Genomic DNA, 23,472 nt, shown 5'->3' with positions numbered 1-23,472 from the left:
GTGGTCCAAAAACATTAAATTGAAAATTCCAGAAATAATACATAAGTTGTAAATTTTGCACCATTCTGAACAGCACGATGAAATCTCACGTTGTCCCACTCCATCTCACCTGGGACGTAAATTCTCACTTTGTCAGGCAAATGCACACTGAAACCATTTCCCAAACCTTAGTCACTTAAGAGCCATCTTGGTTATCAGATTTACTGACACGAGATTGCAGTACTTGTGACCAAGGAAACTTTATTTACCTTCACAGTGGCCTCAAAGTGCACAAAAGTAAAACACTATCTTAACAGGCAGTGTGGTCACCCTAGTACTCATAAGCACATTTCAAAAAGTGTTTATTACCATCTTCACTATTAAATAATTGCATACCTCTGTAAAGGATATTTTAAATCGATAATTTCATTCCTATTATCTTTAGTGTTTCTCATGAAACCAATGGATATCCTATATGGCCAGATGACTTTAAAATGTGTGTAATTGTCCACATATAAAAATGTACCTATATTTAAAAGTAGCATTAATGAAGTGTCATCATGAGTGTCGTTTTTCTCCATATGGTTTTCCTCTGATCCTTTTGTGGTTTCCTTCATTTTTCCAGCAGCATATTTCAATGTGACGTGAGTCATCATTTTTTTTTGCCATGCCTGTTTAACTGCCCTTATGTAGCATTAACTTTTCATAAATGCCTCTATGGCTTTGTGCCAGCAAAAATAAATAAACTAAAAGTGCTAAAGCAACATAGTGCAGTGCAATTCACTCAGGGTTGGGTGTCAGACAGGTGAACCTGTGTTTATTATATAAGGTCTTTAAAGTATGTGGAAATTGCAGATCAGATTGTAGACCTTCCACTTACTCACTGAGGAACTACATCCATAAAATGTGAATAATAAAGGGTGAGGGTTAATGTACCTGGCAGATGCTTACTAAATGGCGGCTATTATTATTTTCATCATTACCATCCCTAGAGTATAACCCAAAGGAAATCGTGCATAAACACATTGGTGACCTGATTCAGTGGAATTCACACTGCTGACTCGACTCAATGCTTGCTTATTTCTAATAAAACAGTAATGCTAGTTATGGAGCACCTCTTGTCATCTGGAAAATATACCAGAAAAGCACAGATGAAAAGAGGAAGCATGAGGCCAGCCCACTTATTTTTGCTGCCACATTTAGTCACTAGGCTGAATGATAGGAAAGCAGAAGCTAAAACACAGTAAAAACAAACAAAAGACAAAACCTAATTGAGGAATTAAAGGACTTCTACTGCAGAGAAAGAGCTTGGGTTTAAAACAAATCATTAGCTGTTTTTGAGTGTATTTCTTGATTATTTTGGACCTCAACATCTCTGAGAAAGCAAAGAAAATAGTGTCAGCTGGAAAATAAGTTGGGCTTATTTAAAAGAAATAAAGACATTCATCAAGTAAAGAGTTTCCATAACCACCTATTTTAAGATGCTGTAAAATGTCATAATTCAGATTAAAAAAAGAATAATGCATCATATTGGAAAGTTTTTTTTTCCAATTTTGTCTGGTCTTTTTGTAGGGGAAAAGACCATATCTCTCCTACAAAAAAAAAAAAACCCGGCCAAGGACATATAAACCCTGTTCCATATTGCTATAGCATGGTGTATGAAATTCACAGACTTGAACAAAAGAATAAATATTCATCACCTCTGCCTTTTTTTTTTTTAGGTGCCTCCTATACTCCTTGATAAGCAGTTCTCTGAATTCACTCCAGACATTACACCAATCATTTTGGCAGCCCATACAAATAATTATGAGATAATAAAACTCTTGGTTCAGAAAGGAGTCTCAGTGCCTCGACCCCACGAGGTCCGCTGTAACTGTGTGGAATGCGTGTCCAGTTCAGATGTGGACAGCCTCCGTCACTCACGCTCCAGACTCAACATCTACAAGGCCTTGGCCAGTCCCTCTCTCATTGCACTGTCAAGCGAAGATCCTTTTCTCACAGCCTTTCAGTTAAGTTGGGAACTTCAGGAACTGAGCAAGGTGGAAAATGAATTCAAGTCGGAGTATGAAGAGCTGTCACGGCAGTGCAAACAATTTGCTAAGGACCTACTGGATCAGACGAGAAGTTCCAGAGAACTGGAAATCATTCTTAATTACCGAGATGACAATAGTCTCATAGAAGAACAAAGTGGAAATGATCTTGCAAGACTAAAATTGGCCATTAAGTACCGTCAAAAAGAGGTGAGTGTTGCCAGACTTGATCCATCAAAATGCCATAGAGTTTAATCACAGTGAAGCAAACTGCTACTCACAAAATTAGTTTTGGGTTTTAGAGCATTTTCTATTCAGCTGTAAGTGGATGACATTTATTGTCTACCGGATTAATAATTATGAATCACATTGAAGAGTGGTAATAAATGGTTTAATAATTGATGTTTTTGGCCTCTGTCTTAAAATGTACACATTGACTGTGGTATAATGGAAAAACTAATGAATTTTAGTATGTCCAGACTGAGATTTCTGGCTCTGCTATTTATAAGTCTTGTAACTTTAGGGGGTCACAGATAGATTTCCTTAAGCTTCAGTATTCTCACCTGCTGAATGGATTTAATATTTGAAATTATATATATATATATATACGTATATATACATATATACGTATATATATACATATATACGTATATATAAGTGTGTGTGTGTGTGTATATATATATATATATATATATATATATATATATATACGCATATATATATATAAATAATCAGCCTTCTGTATCTGCAGGTTCCGCATCCTTGGATTCAACCAAATGTGGATGGAAAATGCAGCATTCATAGGATGTGGAACATTCAGATATGGAAGGCTGATTTTTTCCTATCCATGGGTCCCGTAGGGCCAACTGCTGCAGGGCTAGAGCAGCCATGGATTTTGGTATCCACATGAGGTCCTGGAACCAATCCCCCACAGATGCTTGGGGACAACTGTATATATAGACAACATTTTCCTCACAGGTTTTTAGGAAGTGTAAAATATGTGGATGTGTGAAGACTCTTAGTAAATTATATGGTATTGTTTTATTTATATCAGTAAATACTTATTATAAAGTGTTAATAAAATAAAAGACTTTAGTACAATAGCAGATGTAAGTACTAAAACTTTTCTCATATCTTGCTCATTTTTTTGATTTGTCAGGAATAAGAAACCAAGTAAGTTCATCGCAAGGGAGTAATAAATTTCTTGTAAAATTTCCATATATTAAAAATGCTGTATTAAATAACAGAATCTCATACTTCTTACCCTTAATCAGCCAGCATAATTGCTTTGTGTTTGAGTGAGTTCTCAAAAGACTGTTTACATCTATCTGAAGAAAATATTGGTTCTCTGTTCACTCTTAAATGATAGTAATTATCTATTCCAGAACAATACTTGGAAATGCTATGTAAGATGAAAAGAGAAAGAGAAAAAGTGAAAGACTTCTGAATTGTAAAATGTACTCAGTTTCTTTTGAATTTGGCCTTAATGATCCCATATAAGCCCTGGCTGCTTTGTCTGTTGCTACTCACTAAATACTCAAGGTTCAAGATACCTGAACTTGCTTTCTCAATTTTTTCCTCTAGTTGTGTGATTAGTTAAGCTAATCTGGTTGTCATGGAAGCCTGAAACAAGGTGAAATGAACTTTTCCCTTAATACTGAAGTGAACAGCTTCTTTTGTGTCCATTCCCTCTAACTCTAAAATCACATTTGCTATTTTGAGTCCTTGTCAGCAGTATTAACTCATTTTCTTAGGTTTTTATGTTTTGGACTCAGAGATCTAATATTTTAAAGAAACTAGAGTAATTTTACTACACAATGATAAGATACATTGATGAAAGATGTTCAAAGTGGTAAATGGGAAGATAAGAAGTCATTGCAGGCTTTAGACTTGAAAGATATTGAAATATTGATATGGCCTAAATCTTCTTAAAGATCCATATTAGCACAGTAGTATGCTTTGCTTTCTTTAGTTTTTCTTTGGAGAAGGGGGTTTAAAGAATCGACACGATGATTGCAAAGATTTTCTCTTATGCCATAGCTGTTCACTGTTAATATTATCCTACAAATGTTGAATGGAGTAAAGTTCCCAAGATGTACAATTCATGAAATGAAACAGAGAATGCAGAAGCAGCCTGCTCTGCTCACCTGTTGCTCTTTAGGTCTCTCTGCAGCCAGTGAATGAACTCAGATTTATTTTTTGCCTGCACTCATTTTGGTCATGGCATTGAAGCTGATTTAACGTCATCTTTGGCCACAATAACTTTTGTGAAAGCCTGGGAACAAAGTACTCATAAACTCCTTTACCATATCCTCATAACAGAATGCTGTCAATGATATTGCATTAACTGAAGCTGCCAAATTCCTGTCAAAGAGTTGTTCGAGATAGAAATTGTAATTTGAATTTCTTGCATATTTATATTTATATTTTTACCTGCAAAGTAATTAATACACTTTGGTCATGCATTAATTTCCTTAATAACTGTTTCAACATATATTTCATAGAACACATTCCAGGAAATGCACGGGGCACTTGGGATTCCCAGGTGTCAGGTCTCTGCTCTCATAGAGCTTATAGCCTATTAGGAGAGACAATGAAACATTGAATATATATTCTCCATTTTGTTCCTGAACCACTAAAAATGTTCTTCCTTACTGAACGTGTTTTCTTTGCTTATGTTCTTCTGTATATGTTATAAATATAAAAAGTGGTTTCAATGTCAAAACCTATGAAAAAGCCATAACTCTAATCCCATCTTCAGTATCTAAGAAGCAAAGCAATGGAAGGCATTTAATAATTTCCAACACTTCTCTCAAGATGTTTGTATTCTTGCTAATATGAAGTTATGGAAGGGTGATAAAGCCTAATAATACAAGATAAAACATAACAAAAAACATATAGCATGTAACAAAAAAATAAGAATTGGTGCTATTTTTTAAAAGACACTTTTCTTGTAGATATGGGGTCTTGCTATGTTGCCCAGGCTGATCTCAAACTCCTGGGTTCAAGCAATCCTCCCCAAAAGATACAATTTTAAAAGACATTGTATTGGGATTTTTTTCCTTTCAAAATGTTTTGAGATTTCAATGGAGAAAAAAATGAAAACGAAATTCTTACAGAGTTGTTCTGGAGTATCTTGCATTTACTATCAAAGAGAATATTTTTCTCTGATTGAAGATTTTCCCAAAGCAAAATAACATTGGATAACTGATAGCATTATTTAAAAAATTCAGGAATAACATTTTACTTTCATATATACCTTTTAAAATCATAAGTTGTGTTTTACCGCATGTATTCTTAGGTTATTCAGAAATTATTAAATTCAAATATTAAAGGTTTTCTAGTAAGATCATGTGCCTTAAAGAAAATTCTGCTTTAGCATGTCTTGCTTCATATCTTTCTTACCAAAAGTTTTCCTTGGTTTGGTCTAAATAAGTCTGAGATTTATCTTTAGTCCATCTCTCAGGATTTGGAATGCTTTCTCATTAACCTTCATTCACATAGCTAAGTCCTGCACACTCTTTAAAGGTCATCTCACGTCTTGTCTCACCGCAGGAGCATTCTATGAAGCAAACCCCTCCATAGACTCTCTTGGATAAATGTCCTCATTATACACACCCTATATTGCATTGTGTTATTACTTTTCCATCTCCTCCTCTAGGCAGTGTCAGGAACACATCCATCTTACTCACCAGTCATACTGTAGCCCCTGACATACAGAAGGTGCTCAGTAATGAATGCACCTGAATGAAGTCACAGATGCTCTTAGATCTGGATGGTTCCCTGCATGTTTCTTTGCCTGAATAAATTGCACTATTTGGGTTAATCTCCTAATAACAGATTCCTTATGAATCAACATATTAAAACAATTAATGTTGGCAGGATTTGATTGCAGACTTGTTCTGGTACTTCTCTAATCTCATCCAAAGAGAAAGCTCTGTGTTAATTTCATGCCATAGATATTTTTACATTTTCATTTTATATATTCTTTCTAAGCAGCAGCATCATAGAAAGAAGAATTGTATTACTTCTATTAATTCTAGGCTAATGATGCTGCAATTGTACTGATCATATATTAGCAGAACAAACATCTTCTATCAATTCAAATGAATGTATTTTAGCAACTGGGTTAAGTTGTTTACATGGTTTATTATATTAAACCTCCAAATACACTTCTGAAGTATGAACTATTTGTTGCTGTTTTTTTTTTTTCATGAAAAAATCGGAGTCACAGAGGGTTATATAATGTGCAGTGTTACTCTGTTAAATATTGGGGCCAGATTGCAAATCCAGATCTTAACTACAAAAACTTGGCTCTAACCATCACACCATATTGCCTCCACCCAGACATCATCCTGCTGAACACTGGGTAAACCTGAGAAAACTGACGCTGCTAGCCTAGTTTTGTTGAGCACATGAATTTATTTCATGACTCAGCTCGCCCGTAATGAAAGCCTTGCATTTTGACATGAAGTTTTCTTTGCTTTCACGTTGTGATGAAGCACTTGATTTCTCCAAAGAGTGTGAAGCCTACTTTCCCTTTCTTTCTTACTCCACTTTTACGTTTCTGTGTCAAACAATAATCTTTCAAGTACCATTCTGCGATGGGACAGGTTTAAGGTTTAAGGTTGCTCCCTTGACCAAGCACTCCCATCCCGATGCCAATCATCTAAATGAATAATAACAAAGGAAACTGGAAACAAAAAGCATGTAGTCATACCCTTAAAACTGATTCTTGCCCTGTGTGTAACATAAAGGCGAGGACGACTGAGGACATGTCTTAGACAAAAAACTTGTCCCTTGGTTTCTGGCATGATTTTTGCAGATGCAGAGTCTGTGGCAGTTAAAATTACTTCCATGTAGTCATTCCTCTTGCCTAATATTTGTAAGATTACTAAATGTGAATTGGAAGCTTAATACATTTCTTAACTATTTTTTACAGCAAAGACCTTCCGTAGTTTTTGTTACATGATTGACAATATTGTGAAGTAAGTAATTAAAAGGTAGAGTAGCCTAGATGTCAAATAAAAATAAAAAGCAAGGAAATAGATTATTTGTCTAAAAACATTACAATTCAAACTCTCTATAGCTTTTCAATATATTTAATTTGCCTTTCCCTTTCATGAAGGTATTTCAGCAGCTTTGCAACATTAGCTTAAATTTTGGAACTAATTTGGGTTTCGTCCTACACATTAATGGGATTGTTAAAGGAGAAAAATCAACATTTGAACAGCCCGCTGCTCATGACCTCCTAACCTTCTGTTTATCCAGTCTTGGGGGAATGGAGAAAATGTGAAGAGATTCATGTCAATCAGACACTATCCATGGCATGGTAAACTAAATTGATTCAAAATGTTCCACAATTACAGCTCTTTAAAGCTCTCTTAATCTCAAGATTGTTGGTTCTGTTTCTTGATTTATTTCAAACCCCTTGATATGGAAGCAAGAAACAAGACTGCTGTGAGCAAGGAGACAGGGGAGGTGGGGAGAATGTAGGGACAGAGGAAACACATAGGGTGTAGCCTTAGTACAACCAAGGGACACCTCGGGTGAGAGTTACAGTGCATAGCAAGAGTGCTAAAGCAGTTAAATAACAAATAGAGCAGACACTGTGGATTGTGTCTTCTTAAAACTGCCTAGAACCCTACTTGTCTGTATATCATGGCCTTTATTTTATAAACTCTTTTTTGATAAGTGTATCACTCCAACAGGTTTTTAATTCAAATGTTATTTGAAAAAGGCAATAAATAATCATTTAAATCCAATCTTACTACAATATGAACTTCATGTTAAAAATCAATCAACAAACAAATTAAAAACACCACTCATGTTCTTGATTTACCTGATATCTGCATATCTGAGATCTATAGCAAGATGCCATTTTGTGCTTCTGTTAGTAGTTGAGGGACAGTAACATCTCTCTCTACATATTTTTTATTCTGAAATTACTAACCCTCAAGGTTGTACCCTACCCATCTTTAAAAAAAATCACACAGGTAAGTTAATGATAATGTTGCATCCTTGCTGTCTCATAAGGACCTTGGGTTGGTGTTGGGAAACAATGACTTTCTCCTCTTAGATCCAGTGGATTTTGGTGTCTGGTCAGCAGCCATGCTAGACCTTTGCACTTGCTACAAATTTGACGGCATAGCTGACCATTGTTAACCACTGACTGTCTTAGAATCTTTTGTTTTTCTCCATTACTCTTCTTTAATCTGGGATGTCTAAAATATACCTTTCCTATTTTATTATGCCTGTAAATGACATACCGGAGTATATAATTTGGGGAAAAATATTTCATGCTATGAAAATTTTTAAAAAATAAGTTTGAAAATCTCATGCTGGCCAGCTGCAGTGGCTCACACCTGTAATCCCAGCACTTTGGGAGGCCGAGGCAGGCAGGTCACAAGGTCAGGAGTTTGAGAGCAGCCTGTCCAACAAAGCGAAACCCTGTCTCTACTAAAAATACAAAAATTAGCTGGGCATGGTGGTGGGTGCCTGTAATCCCAGTTACTCAGGAGGCTGAGGCAGGAGAATTGCTTGAACCCAGGAAGCGGAGGTGGCAGTGAGCCGAGATCATACCACTGTACTCCAGCCTGGGCAACAGAAAGAGACTCCATCTCAAAAAAAAAAAAAAAAAAATCTCATGCTTTGGAGACTTTTTCTCATGGACATCAAATAACTCTTAGAGAAGGAGAGCAAAGAGATTACTGAGAGAAACATGAGAGAAAACACCATAGTCCTTATGGTGTTCCCCGTCATAACTGAGTCATTTATGTAAGTAAAGTTGGTAATGCCTTTTCCTTAGTTTGGTTTTCTTATTTAACACACTGGGTTATCTGAATGAGATTCAATTACCATGTCCTTTTCCCTTATGCTTCTTCTATGTTTAAACTGCTTTGAAAAGATTCATGTCCTCCAATGTCCCCTCAAATACCACTTTCTCTGAAAAACCTTCCCTTATATTATACCCAGGTTAAAATTAGTTATTGTTTTCTCTTTTGTATGGTAGAAACATTCCTTTATTGCAAATGTCGGTTTTTCTTTTCATTATTTGTTTTCACATTTTGCTTCTCCAGTTGAACACCTTGCCTCTAATATTAACCTCCTCCAAAACATTACTCACAACACTACTAAAGGTTTTTTGTTTTGTTTTATTTTTTGGAAAGGCAGATCTAGGAAAAACTTTCCCAGTTATACAATTGAAAATCCCAAGCCCGGGGAAACCCTCAGTTTGGGTCATCATAAATCTGAGCACAACTGTTAAGCATTGTAATGTCTATCACATAAAGTCCAACTGCCACAACAGTCTTATGTGGATTCTGCCTAAATTTTCAGTTTTACCTTTCTTAATGCCCACCGTCACTGCTTAGAGTCTGTATTTCAGCCAGGTGGGAACATTCATAACATTGTTGCAATATTTCCCCTTCTAGGCCTTTATATCAGGCATCTCTTGACGTTGGCCCTATTCCTTTGTTCATCTATTGCAATGGGTTTTATCTGGATCATATTAGAATCACCTGGGAAGTTTGTAAACACTACATTGCTGCATATATCCCACTTTCAAACTAGTTAAATCAGAACATCTGGGATGTTCACCACATCTTTGAAACTTTTTAAGTTTCAAACTCTCCAGAAAATTCTAATGTGCAATCAAGGCTGAGCACTACTTAAAATTATCGGTTAGGGTTTCACCTGTGACTTCAAGCTTCTGTAGATTTCCTTGACTCTCTCAGGGAGAGAAGACAATGGGTCCCAAATGTATCTGATTATCAAACTCGCCTGGACAGCTTTTAAACATAGCACTTTGCATGAAGAAATTTGGCTTCAATAAGTCCTTGCATTCATGACATCCCATGAAACTTATTTCAAATTTTTCCCATCTTTCTCCATGCCTCACTATCCACCCTGCCATTTCCTTATTCTATTATGGCTTCCCAGAACCAGAAGCCATCCTCTCTACCTACTGTACATCCTGCTCATTTCTCAGGACTCTCAGAGCTTTTATTTCTTTATTTCCCCTATCTTCAAAACAGAAGAGTCTGGTAGGAAATCAATATCCTATTTAAAATGGAGGAGTAGACCTGGGGAATGGAAAGACAACCAGGCAAGGAATTATCGATGGCTGTTGATCAGCACATAGAAGGAAAGGGATCATGCATTAACATTTTCCCTGCCCTGGAATAAGTAGCTTAGGGCATAGAGAAAGAAAACCTTTCCATTCCTAATACATATACCATAGACATATCTTCTTCCATGTAAATTTCTGATCATCTAAGGGTATAAGAACTGTGGGGAAAATGTTTTATTGGTATCAAGTAACTCATCTCTCTACCATTGAAATAAAATATTATATTAAAAGTAAAAGAACAAATTGGTTGTGGTGGCTCCTTCTTGAAATCACAACACTTTGGGAGGCCGAGGCAAGGCAGATCACTTGAGCCTTGGAGTTGGAGACCAGCTTGGGCAACATAGCAAAATTCTGTCTCTACAAAGAAAAGAAAATTTAGCTGGGCATGGTGGCATGTGCCTGTAGTCCCAGCTACTTGTGAAGCTGAGGTGGGAGGGTCACCTGAAGCCAGGCAGGTTGAGGCTGCAGTGAGCCAAGATTGTACCAGTGCATTCCAGCCTGCGGAACAGAATGAGACCCTGTCAAATTAATAAAATAAAATAGAATAAATAAATAAGTAAATAAGGTCTATGAATTGGATATAGTGCTCTTTTCTGCCCCTAACCAAGGATGTAGTGTTGGACAACTTATCCTTTGCATTTCTATTTTCTCTTCTCTAAAATATGTTGCCTTGTGAAGATGAAATGTAATAATGCAAGTACAGAACTTAGCATATTTCCTGGCATATTTGCTCATGAAAGAGTGGCTATCTATTATTATCAGCTATTATTATTATTATTATTATTATTACTATTTTTTGTCTGTTCCTGGGTCCCCAATATAAAAGGATAAGCATATGCAGAAAAATACAAGATTCCACTATATACTATGCAGCAGAAAGTGTAGGAAGTGTTAGCTTCATCATTTAACATTTTAATACTTGTTATAAACACTCATCTGTTTCTTGTGGGTTACATTACTATTTTGAATATCAAAAAGAAGTTGGCTGGGCGTGCTGGCTTACATCTGTAATCCCAGCACTTTGGGAGGCCAAGGCAGGCAGATCGCTTGAGTTCAGGAGTTTGAGACCAGCCTGGGCAACACGGTGCAACCTTGTCTCTACAAAAAAAAAAAAAAAAAATTAGCCAGGCATAGTGGTGTGTGTCTGTACTCGCAGCTACTTGGGAGCCTGAGATGGGAGGATCAATTGAGCCCAGGAGGTTGAGGCTGCAGTGAGCCATGATTGCGCCAGTACACTTCAGCCTGGGTGACAGAGTGAGACCCTGTCTCAAAAAGAAAAAGAAAAAAGTTTGTTTTTCTTAAGTCTATTGGTATAATCAGTACTCCAAACTATTTATATTAAGATATATATTGTCACCAAAAAAGTATAATATATACATTCATCCCAGCCCCTAATAACTCTTCCCATTATAGGCTTTCAAAACAACTTACATTGTATAGTACATACTTGGTATTAACTTGCCCATCTGAATTGCATTTTAAAATATATTTTAGGCGTTGGTTATGTATGCCCTTTGAACCTGACTGCTACACCTCAGAATCTTAGCTATACTCATAGAAAGGATTTTCATACGTGAGACTACACTGAGCGATGTGAATTGTGAAATCTGTAGAAAAAAGATATAAGGCAGAATTCCTGTAGCTAAGTTTTCTCTCCTGCTGTTCTGTAGAGCATGCTCAATGACCGATTGCTGAGCATCTGCCTCTCTTTTCTCCATGGTTGTGCACACACTTGCTGTTGCTAGGCAGAGGCAATATGGATCACAGAATCCCTAATGCTCTACCCCAGCCCCCTCCTAGGGACCAAACCTTTCAGTGCCTGCCACTCTGTAATGGCAGAAGCAAATGCCTATTCAGTACTTTTCAGACTGGCTCAGGAACCTATGACAAGTCATTAGGCATTTAATTTAACACTAGGCTTTTAGACCCTGGAATTCAATCCCCATGAGTTTCTTTACAGCTAATTAAGTTACATGTAATAACTGTCTTCTAATTCCTAACTGAAAGTGTTTTTTTCCCCCACAGTTAAATTTGAAATTGTGTGTGTCCAAAACATCGTATAAATTTGTCCTTTTAAACAACACTGTTCAAGAAGTAACAAGTGTGTCTTATAAAACATAAAACAGCAAATTGTAGTTTCAAATTAGATATAAAAACTTGTATTTGATACTGCTTTAAATAAATATTTTTAAATTTTATTTTCAAGGAAGTGTACTCTTCTAATTCACCTGAGAAAATGTACATAAGCAGCTCTTTATGATGCAGCTTTCATTTGGCAAAAACAAGAATCAAAAACATTAGGCTAATGATAATATCTTTGATAAACTACATTGTGTATTGGATACCTTCCCTTGGCCCTCAAATGAATTGTTTTTCAGCATAAAACGGGTACTTCTGACTCTGATGATTGACAAGAAAGTGCTAGCAATAAGATCATCAGGTTTCCATTATTCAGATACAATCATGTAGTTTGTCAATGATGGAGAAGGCTTTCTCTTGTTTCTGTTGTACAAATGTTCACATTTATACTTCAAGGTTATTTTCTCTTAGGCCATTATTTAGTGACTGATATTTTCTCTGTCATTCATCACAAAACACCAGAATTGCCAGCTTTTAGAGTTGCGGCCTTAACAGCTTATTCCATTCAATATATTTCCTGGAAAAATACAGAAAGCCAATAGATTGTCTTTTGGAAGTTTATGAAACTGAAACGTTATAGTTCGCAAGAAACTTTTGTTGATTTTGAGATATAAACTTCTGCTTGAGTTCTCATAAATTATGCATGTGAGAGGGAATGTTTTTACTTATTCCTCACCCTGTTAGACATAGTCATAATTTTTCTAAATAGAGGTTAATTATTTTATGTTTGAATTTTTAGAAACAAAAGACACACAGTAAAACTCTCTAGGATTGATAATGCCTGTGCTATAATTTGGCAGTTCATGATGCTGAAGCTGAATTGTGAAGCTGTGTGTTTACAAATGGCTTCTAGGTGGCATAGAACAGGGAAAGCGATCACATAGCTCTGTGGTTTTTGTTTCACACCCTATTCCCTTTCTCCTTTGGAGTGTTAGGGAACACGGAGTGGCATGCCCTCTGCATGCACAGAAGGAGCAAACTAAGCCCATCCTCCATGGTTCCTTGCTAGCTCCCTTCTTGTCTGTAAATGCTTGCTGGAAAAAAAAATTCTACACAACACTGATACAGTGTTAAATGATGGACATTGTTGTTATTTTTCTCCATGCCCTTATCTATGAACAGTGATTTTCCCAGGCAGCTCCGGGACATGTAGCCCTGAAACCTCTTTTTACCCTTTTCTTGATTCTCCTCTTTTTATCTTATTAATTGCCAATTAATAACTGTACTTATTCCTGGGGCACATAGTGATGTTTTGATACATAGAATGTATAGTGATCAGCTCAGGCTAATTAGCATATCCATCATCTCAAACACGTGGTCCTTCTCTTTGACCACTGGGGTGAAGCTGGAAATCTTGCTGGCAGCTAAGACAGAGAGCACATGAGGAGGCTAGCAGAGGGGATTGGAGCTCCCACCACAGAGATCTTCTCTCTGTCTCTAAACGCAATTCCATAAAAGGTGAATTTTTGGTGCCAAAGACTAAGAATGGCAAAATGAGAACACAGCAAGCCCTAGGCCAAGTTCAAATTTCTTTCAGAAGTTTCCTAAAACCTGGAATTTTGCTCTTGCTTAGATAATAAAATGAGATTTCCAAGAGCCACCTTATTGAAGCCCAGGAAAATATTTCTAACTTTGAGATTTTATGGGAGACTTTCCTAAAAATAAAACACCTTAATTGAGTTTCAGTGGAAAAATAGGATTTATTCAGACAAAGAAGTTAGAAAAGGTATATGGGGAAGAAATACTCTGTGCAGATTCATGGAGGCAAAGAAGAGCATGGAACATGGAGGCACATTCAGTGACCTTTCTGTCCTCATTCCAAACCCGTGGCCTCTACCCTCATTTTATCTCTGCTGGGCAAGTGTGAATGGCTCCTCTGTTGGGTCTCAGCTCATATTATCACCTTCTCAGTGAAGACTTCCAGAACACTTGATCTCATTGGTATCCTTTTCTCCTACCTATTATTCCCTTTTATATCACAATTTTATTATCTTTGCAACCTTTATAAAAATCCAAAATAATTTTATTTGTGTGTTTATTTATTGTCTATCGTCCTCCACCCGTATCTAAGTGTCACCTTATCTGATTTGATTATTAGTGCAGTTTCAATCCCTGAAACAGTGCTTAGAATATAGTAAGTGCAAAATAAATGATCATAAATCCGGGTGGGCAGAAGCTGAAATTAGGAAAAAACACAAAGACTAGGTCATAAAGACCTAGGATCGTCAATACCAAGGAACCTAGTTGTTATAAAATGCTGTGATATTTAATCATGATTAAATATGTAGATCAATATTATCTTTATTATTTTTTGAAACTCCTATTCTTCAAAGAAGAACTCATTGTCTTTCTCTTTAAGTCTGGTCCTTCTATCATCTCTGTTAAAGTAGGAGGCACTCCCGGTTATTCATGTTAGAAATCTGAGTCATCCTTGATTATTTTATATCCATCATCTCCAAAAGCTTGATGGGATAGATTAGAGATAAATGCAAATTGAGAGGTGCTGGCTAATTTCCCTTCTCTTGAATCAGAGCCTGCCTTGGCTACCTGCATGACCCATAGAATGCAACAGAAGTGACTTTATTCTTAGGCTCGCTGTGTTTTGGGACTGGGTCTCACTCTGTCATGCAAGCTGGAGCGCATTGGTGCTGTCTTGGTTCATTACAACCTCTGTCTCCTGGGCTCAAGTGATCTTCCCACCTCAGCCTCCCAGGTAGCTGGAACCACAGGTACATGCAACCACACGGGGCTAATTTTTGAATCTTTTGTAAAGACAAGGTTTTGCCATGTTGCCCAGGCTGGCCTGAAACTCCTGAGCTCAAGCAATCCACCCACCTTGGCATCCCAAAATGTTGGGATTACAGGATTGCTTTGATTATTTGGGCATTTTGTTTTGTTTTGTTTTGTTTTTCATTTCCTATGAATTTTACAATTGCTTTTTCTAATTTTGTGAAAAATGACATTGGTAGTTGAATCCGTAGTTGCTTCAGGCAGTAAGATCATTTTTAATTATATTAATTTTGATCTGTGAGCATGGCACGTTTCTCCATTTGTTTATGTCATCTACTATTTCTTTCATCAGTGCTTGGTAGTTTTCCTTGTAAAGATCTTTCACCTCCATGGTTAAATATATTCTTAGGTATTTTTTCTTGTACCTTTTGTAAATGAAATTGCCTTCTTGATTTTGTTCTCAGCTAGATTGTTATCAGCATGTAGAAGCGCTACTGATTTTTGTACATTGGCTTTGTATATACTGAAACTTTGTTGAATTCATTTATTCAAATCTAAGAGTTTTTTGTGAAGCCTTTATGGTTTTCTAGCTGTAAGACATGTCGTCGTTGAACAGGGTTAATTTTACTTCTTCTTTTCCAGTTTGGATACTTTTTATTTTTTTCTTTTGCCTAATTGCTCTTACTAGTACTTCCAGTACTGTGTTGAATAGGAGGGGTAAAAGTGGCACCCTTGTCTTGTTTTAGTTCTTAACAGGAATGCTGTCAACTTTTCCCAACTTATTATCTCATTGTTTCATTGGTTTGAAATAAAACAATTACCTCTGACTAGATCCTACTCTTTCTTCATGATGTTAAAACTGGGTCTTAATAAATTTCCCCTCATTTATCAGGTTAGACTGGTTCTCTCTCTTCTATATATAGAGCATGTACATTTACCACATTATGTTATAATTAATTGTTTTAGGTCTCTCCCCTTCATGAGACTCTGAGCTCCTTGAATCCAAGAACTGAAATCTTTATTTATTTTGCTATCTTTAGCAACTACAATGGCACTGGTACATTAGGTATGAGCTCAATACATGTTTGTGGAATTAATGCTACATTGTTTTTTCTTCAAGTCAAACAACCCATTTGTATAATACCTTGATGGCAGTTCTTCTAAGAGATTTTATGTTGAGGAATAACTTGACCATTGGTGAGGAAAAAATAACAAAGCTTCACATATAATTTTTGTTGACTGCCTTCTATGCATACAATGAAGGTAAATGCTATATGGGGAAAGAAAAAAGAAATAGTAGCTAGCTCCTTTGGAGGTGGGGAAAGGGACGTACTACTTCGATAATATTTAGGCAAACATATACAAAATAAAATCATTTTGTTTGATTTTAACTATTTTAATGAAAGGAATATTTGACATAAAACTTGATAAAACAATTTAAATAATATTGATTGATTGCATTTCATTTTTATCTCTTATACAGTTTGACATTCATCTGGTCCAACAAATATTTCCAAAAATATTATTCACATAGCACTGATTGTGTGATTAAAGTTCAAATGCCTAGGAAGCTGTACTAGTTATTAAAATATAATAGATATTGTTGTATTGAAGCATTTTAATTTTTTTAATGTATTTTTTCATCTTTTATCATTTTGGTTTTACTTATGTTTTATCATTTCTTCATTGACTATTGTTGCCAATATGTCTCTGTCTAGCACTTTAAACTCTAGAGGAAGAGTTTTAATTTTCACAGCTTCTTGTGTTAAGAAAAAATTATTAATATCTCAGGAAATAAAAGCAGCATCAGTCTTTGATGCCTCTGTGTGCTGACTGTGTGAATTGAGTGTTTTAGAATCTTGGCCATCCGTTTTCAGAAAAGACAATGAATGAATATGTAAGAAAGTCTGTCATCCAAGGAGATTGGGGATAAAATTAGTGCTAATAATAGATTATTTCGAACAGCTAAATTGTAAGTGCCAACATTTTCTTGCTTGTAATGTAATAAATTCTGATGAAAATCATTTGGCTAAAAATCTAACATGTTGTGTATTATCTCATTTTTATACAAAATATAATATATAGAATTTTTTTTCTTAATAACTCAGAACTTCAGAATAGACCCCAGTTATTATACTTTGACATCTGGTTGTAAGTTTAGGATTTTTAAACACTCATATTAATAGCATTTTTGGCCTGTATGAAAATTATGGCAGAAATCTTTTTATAGTTTTGAAGTCTTGTCCCTCACTATTTGCCTCTACTTGCTAATGTCAAAGAAGCTGCCATTTTATAGGTACTTATTCTGATCAATTTTCGACTGGGCAACCTGAAAACTACTCCAGGCTGAAGTGTGGGAAAATCAAAGTAAAAATTCTCTAAGTAAGAATGTGGGAATTCGTTTAGAAATACAATGCATATTTAATGCCTGAATACTGTGGCGTTTATTTTAATATCTTGGAGACCTTGTTTTACTTTCTTAAGCTTCAGAGAGATCAAGGTTGCCTACCAACTTATATGTGAGTATTTAAAATGAATCTGTGTGTGTGTGTGTATGTGTGTACAAAGAGCTTTGATAATATAAATGGAAATGTTCAGACTCTTGAAAATTAAAGTATAATTAATATAAACAATGAAGAACTACTTCTCTGGAGTTATAGGAAATTTACAGAAAAGACAGTTAATTTAACCAAACATTTAATTTTTTTGGAAATTATCAACATAGGAATTCATGAGGGAAGTGCTGCTAACATTTACTGAATAATTTAATTATAAACAAAACATAACAGCAGGGTTTTCAAGCTCTTGAAAAAGTATTATTATGTGATACTTATCATATATAAAAGAAAATACGTGATATATATATATGTAAGTAATAAAGCATAATAATAAACAACCTCCCCATCCCTGAAACTACCTCCTGAGGTAAAAATATACTAATGTGTTTTTTAAAATAGGCCTAATCTGCTACATTTTTAGAGATCCATTGCATTTTCAAAATATAAGACCTTTCTCACTTTAATGTTTTCGCTGGAAACCTGAATAGTCACAGGGGATTAGCCAGCTGTCTTTCTCTGTCGTAGTCTTTCTGAGTGGCCAGCCTCTGACTACTGTGCTTTGTTTTGTTCTGTTTTTAATTTTTCTATTCTGGTGAAATACAAATATAAAATTTACTATCTTAACCATTTTGTGTGTGTAGTTGAGTGGCATTAATTGCATTCATACCGTGCAACCATCACTACGATCCACTCTAGAACTGCTTCCATCTTCCAAAACTGGAAGGAAGGGGAAATGAGGAGTTAGTGTTTAATGAATATAGATATTCAGTCTCTGGCATCCACCATTCCAGTTTCTGCCTTTATAATTTTGACTAATTACCTCATAAAAATGGAATTATATATTTGCCTTTGTCTGATTGGCTTATTTCACTTAGCCTAATGTCCTCAAAGTTCATCTGTGTTGTTACAAATGCCAGATTTTTCCTTCCTTTTTAATGCTAAACAATATTCCATTGTATGTATTTACCACATTTGCCTATCCAGTCATCCACTGAAGGACACTTGGGTTGGTTACTTCCATATTTCAGCTATGGTGATCGTACTGCTATAGAAATGAGAATACAAATATTCTTCAACACCCTACTTTCAATTCTTTTGGGCATACCCCCAGAAGTGGAACTTCTGAATCATATAGTAATTGTATTTTTTTTAATTTTTGAGAAACCTCCACAAGTGTTTTTCACAGTGGCTTTACCATTTTACATTCCCACCAACACTGCATGAGGGTACCCATTTCTCCACATCCTCACCTACAATTGTTATCATCTGTTTTTGTAAACAGTGGCCATCCTAACGAGTGTGAGGGTGCATCTCATTGTAGTTTTGATATGCATTTCCCTCATGAGCAATGATGTCGAGCCTCTTTGCAAGTGCTTATTGGCTGTTGGTATATCTTCTTTGGAAAAACATCTACACAGGTTCTTTGCCCATTTTCTTTTTTCACCTGTGTGTTTGGTGTTAGATCTAAAAATTATTGCCAAGTCCAATATCGTGAAGTTTATGTTCTACTTATTTTTCTAAGAGTTGGAGAGTTTTAGGTCTATGTTTAGGTCTTTGATTCATTTTGAGTTAATTTTTGGTATGGCAAGGGTCCAACTTCATTCTTATTTATGTGTATATTCAGTTTTCCCAGCACCATTTGTTGAAAAAACTTTCTTTTCCCCTATTGAATGGTCTTGGCACCATCATCAGAAACAATTTGATCACATATGTGAGGGCTCATTTCTAGGCTCTCAACTATTTCACTGGTGATTATGTCTGGTTTTTTTTGCCAGTGCTAATGTTTTCATTACAGTAACTTAGCAATAAGTTTTGAAATCAGGAAGTATGAGACCTCAAGCTTTGTTCTTCTTTATCAAGATTATTTTGGCTCTCAGGGTCCCTTGAGATTCCATATGGATTTTAGGATAGATTTTCTATTTCTACAAAAAATATCACTGGGCTTTGTATAGGGATTGTGTTGAGTCTGTAAATTGCTTTGGGTAGTATTGACCTCTTAATACTATTAAGTCTTCCAATCCATGAATGTGGGACATCTTTCAATTTATGCATGTCTTCTTTAATTTCCTCCACCAATGTTTCATAGTTTTCATTGTATAGGTTTTTACATCCATGGTTAAGGTAATTCCTACATATTTTATACTTTTTGATTTTTTTATAAATTGAATTTCCTTAATTTCCTTTTAAAATTACTCTTTGATTATATATAGAAATGTAACTTATTTTTGTGAGTTGACTTTGTACTCTGCTACCTTGCTGATTTTGTTTATTAATTCTAACTATTCTTTTGTGGAATCTTCAGGGTTTTCTGCATATAAGACTACAACATATGTAAACAGATAATTTTACTTTTTTCTTCCTGGTGTTGACTTTTTTTTTTCTTTTTCACATAATTGCTCTGTCTAGAACTTCCAATACTATGTTGAATAGAAGCAGTGACAGCAGGCACCTCGCTTTGTTCCTAATCTTAGAGAAAAAGCTTTTAGTCTTTCACCATTGAGTATGATGTCCATTGTTGATTTTTCATATGTGGATTTACTTTGTTGCAAGAATTTCCTTCCATGCCTAATTTGCTGAGTGTTTTTATCATGAAAGGGTATTGAATTTTGTCAAATAATTTTCCTGAATCAATTGAGAAAATAGTATGATTTTTTAAATTCATTCAGTTAATATAGTATATTACATTGATTGATTTTATATGTTGAAAAATCAGCCCATTCCAAAAATAAATGCCATTTGATAATGATAGTCTTGGTAGGTTTTGTGTTTCCAAAAATTTGCTCATTTTATTTAAGTTATCCAATCTGTTGGCATGTGACTGTTCATATTCCTCTCCTATAATCCTTTTTCTTTCTTTAGAATTAGTAGTAGTGTTTTCATTTCTGATTTTAGTAAATTGAGTCTTCTCTATTTATTTTAGTCAGTCTCACTGAAAGTTTGTCAATTTTATTGATCATTTTGAAGAACCAGCTTTTTGGTCTCATTGATTGTCTCTGTTTTCTATTCTCTATTTTGTTTATCTCTGCTTTCATCTTATTTCCTTTCTTCTGTTAGCTTTGTGCTTGTCTTTTCCAATTTATTAAGTTGTAAAAATAAACTTTCAACTTGAGATCTTTCTGTTCTTTAATGTAAGTATTTATAGGCATAAATTTCCCCCTTAGCTCTGCTATCCTTGTGTCTCATAAATTTTGGTATGTTGTATTTTTATTTTCATTAATATTTATTTTCTAATTTTTCTTGTCTTTCTTCTTTGATCCGTTGGTTAAAAGTACGTTGTTTAATTTTCACAAATTTGTGATTTTTCCATTTTGCTTTTCATATTGACTTCCAACTTCATCCTCTTGTGTTCAGAAAAGATACTTTGTATGATATCAATATTTTTAAATTTATTAAGAATTAATTTGTGACCTAACACGTGGTCTACCCTGAAAATGTCCCATGTTCACTGGAGAAAAATGTGTATTCTGTTATTGTTGGGTAGAGTGCTCTGCATATGTCTGTTAGATCTAATTGGCTTATTGTGTTGCCCAGGTCCTCTATTTCATTACTTAAAGGAAGATTATTCTGTCTGCTCTTGAGAGAGGGTATTGAAGTCTCTAAATATTATTGTAGAATTTTTTACTTCTACCTGGAATTCTGTCAAAATTGATATATTTTCATGAACTATCATCAGGTGTGTCAATGTTTATAATAATTATATCTTCTTGTAATAAACCTTTTATTAATATATAATGTTCTTTTTTCACCTTTTTTATTTAAAATCTATTTTGTCTGATATTAGTATTGCCACTCTTTCTCCCTTTTGTTACTATTTTCATGTCATTGCCTTTTTTATTCTTTCACTTTCAAACTATTTACGTGTTTGAATTTAAGGTGAGTCTCTTGTAGAAAGCATATAGTTGAGCCATGTCTTATTCATTCCGTCAATTCCTGTCCGTTGAGTTGGAGAGTTTCATTCATTTACATTTAAAGTTATTGCTAATAAAGGATACTTACTTCTGTCATTTTGCCATTTGTTTTTGTTTACTTCCTGCATTACTATCTTCTTTCATGTATAGCTGTTTTTTGTAATTACCTTCTCATTTTCTTTTGTGTATATTCCATAGCTATTTTCTTTGTGGTTACCATGGGGATTACATTTAATGTTCTAATGTTATAACTTTCTAATTTAAATTCATACCATCTTAACTTCAATAACACACAAAAATACAGTTTCTTTTTAGCTCCATCTCCATGCTTTTCAGTGGTTGATATCACAAAATTATCTTTATACATTATATATGAAATATAATCTAATGATTTTTAAAATGCATTTGTCTCTTAAATTATGTAGAAAACAAAATGTGGAATTGTAAAACAAAGTAATAATAATACTAACTTTTTTTTTTGGGGGGGGACGGTGTCTCACTCTGTCGCCCAGGCTGGAGTGCAGTGGTACGATCTCGGCTCACTGCAACCTCCGCCTCCTGGGTTCAAGTGATTCTCCTACCTCAGCCTTCCGAGTAGCTGGGACAACAGGTGCCCACCACCAAGCCTGGTGAATTTTTATATTTTTAGTAGAGAAGGGGTTTCACCATATTGGCCATGCTGGTCTCCAACTCCTGACCTTGTGATCCGCCTGCCTCAGCCTCCCAAAGTGCTGGAATTACAGGTGTGAGCTGCCAATACTAACTTTTTAGTTATCTACATACTCACTTTTGCTGTGATCTTTATTTTCTCATACAGCTTTGTGCTACTGTCTAATGTCCTTTCATTTCAAACTGCAGAACTCAATTTAGCATTTCTTGCAGAGCTGGTCTAGAATGTATTTCTCCCTCACTTTGGAAGTACAGTTTTGCCAGATATAGGAATCTTTTTTATCCAAACTGCTTTCTTGAGGTATGATTGACATGGACAAAGCTATATATACTTAATGTATATAACTCAATGATTGTTGGTTGAGTTTTTTATTTCAGCTCCAGAATTTCTTTTTTGTTTCTTTTTTAATTTTGTAGTACATTAACTATATCAGCTTACTGCCTTCTGGTATCTAAAGTTTCTGATGAGAAATCTGTTGATAATCTTATTCAGGATTCCTTGTATGTAATGAGTGTCTTCTTTCATACTGCTTTCAAGATTCTCTCTTTGCCTTTGTCTTTTGATAATTGTATTATAATGTGTCTTGGTGTGGATCTCTTTGAGATTATAATACTTGGAGCTCATTGAGCTTCTTAGATGTTTATAGTCATGCTTTTCATCAAATTTGGGGAAATGTTGGCCATTATTTCCTCAAATATTCTCTCTGCCTCTTTCTCTCTTCTTCTGAGCCTCCACAATGTATATATTGGTCCACTTGATGGTGTCTCACAGGTTCTTTAGACTCTGTTCATCTTCTTTCATTTTTTCCCTCTGTTCCTCAAACTAGACAATTTCAATTGTCTTATCTTCAAGTTCACTAATTTTTTCTTCAGTCCGCCCAAATCTGCTTTCGAATCGACTGTTTTTTCACTTCAGCTCTAGAATTTATTTTTTGTTTCTTTTTTTAAAAAATTCTTTATTGATACTTCCTTTCTGTTCATACATAGTTTTTGTGATTTCTCCTTTAGTTCTTTAAGCACCTTCAAGACAGATGTTTTAAAGTCTTTGTTTAAAGTCTTTGTTATCAAGTATTTCTCAGAAACAACTTCTATTGATTTACAGTTAACGTTTTCTCCATCTATAATTCATTCATTCAGGCATTCACCAATTCAGCCTTTCAAGTACTCATTAAATAACAAATTATTTAACAAGAGATTATTGACTGCTTCCTATATTCTAGAGATTCTCAAATTAACTTGTTTGAAAAAGTGAAGCCACAGTTGGAATCTTGGGCCTTGCCAAAAAGATGTGAAAGGACCTTTTGGAACAAATAGACCAACACTTTTTA

At 35.1% G+C, this 23,472-nt stretch overlaps 1 protein-coding gene across 9 annotated transcripts in view, besides 1 other annotated feature; it reads left to right on the top strand.

Annotated features, from left to right (window-relative positions):
- Window positions 1-23,472, top strand: part of TRPC4 (transient receptor potential cation channel subfamily C member 4) — a 237,710-nt gene that overhangs the window by 121,617 nt on the left and 92,621 nt on the right. For 8 of the 9 annotated variants that reach the window (NM_001354806.2, NM_001372055.1, NM_001354799.2 and 5 more), the window contains exon 3: window positions 1,701-2,219. The exons of the other annotated variant lie outside the window; for it this stretch is intronic. Coding sequence is in view for 5 of the 8 variants with exons in the window: in NM_001135956.3 (NP_001129428.1) it covers window positions 1,701-2,219 (519 nt within the window). In the remaining 3 variants the exon portion in view is untranslated. The remainder of the gene's footprint in view (window positions 1-1,700; window positions 2,220-23,472) is intronic. 9 annotated transcript variants of the gene reach the window in all.
- Window positions 570-864: a silencer, noted in NCBI's record as "tiled region #14178; HepG2 Repressive non-DNase unmatched - State 24:Quies". NCBI's record gives its function as "represses a minimal TATA promoter and a strong SV40 promoter by Sharpr-MPRA in HepG2 cells {active_cell/tissue: HepG2}" and the evidence as "EXISTENCE:reporter gene assay evidence [ECO:0000049][PMID:27701403]".

The sequence above is a fragment of the Homo sapiens genome, chromosome 13, assembly GCF_000001405.40.
Source record: "Homo sapiens chromosome 13, GRCh38.p14 Primary Assembly".
Classification (NCBI taxonomy): domain Eukaryota; kingdom Metazoa; phylum Chordata; class Mammalia; order Primates; family Hominidae; genus Homo; species Homo sapiens.
Note: the sequence above shows the minus strand (reverse complement) of the source record. Positions and strands in the feature narration are given on the sequence as shown.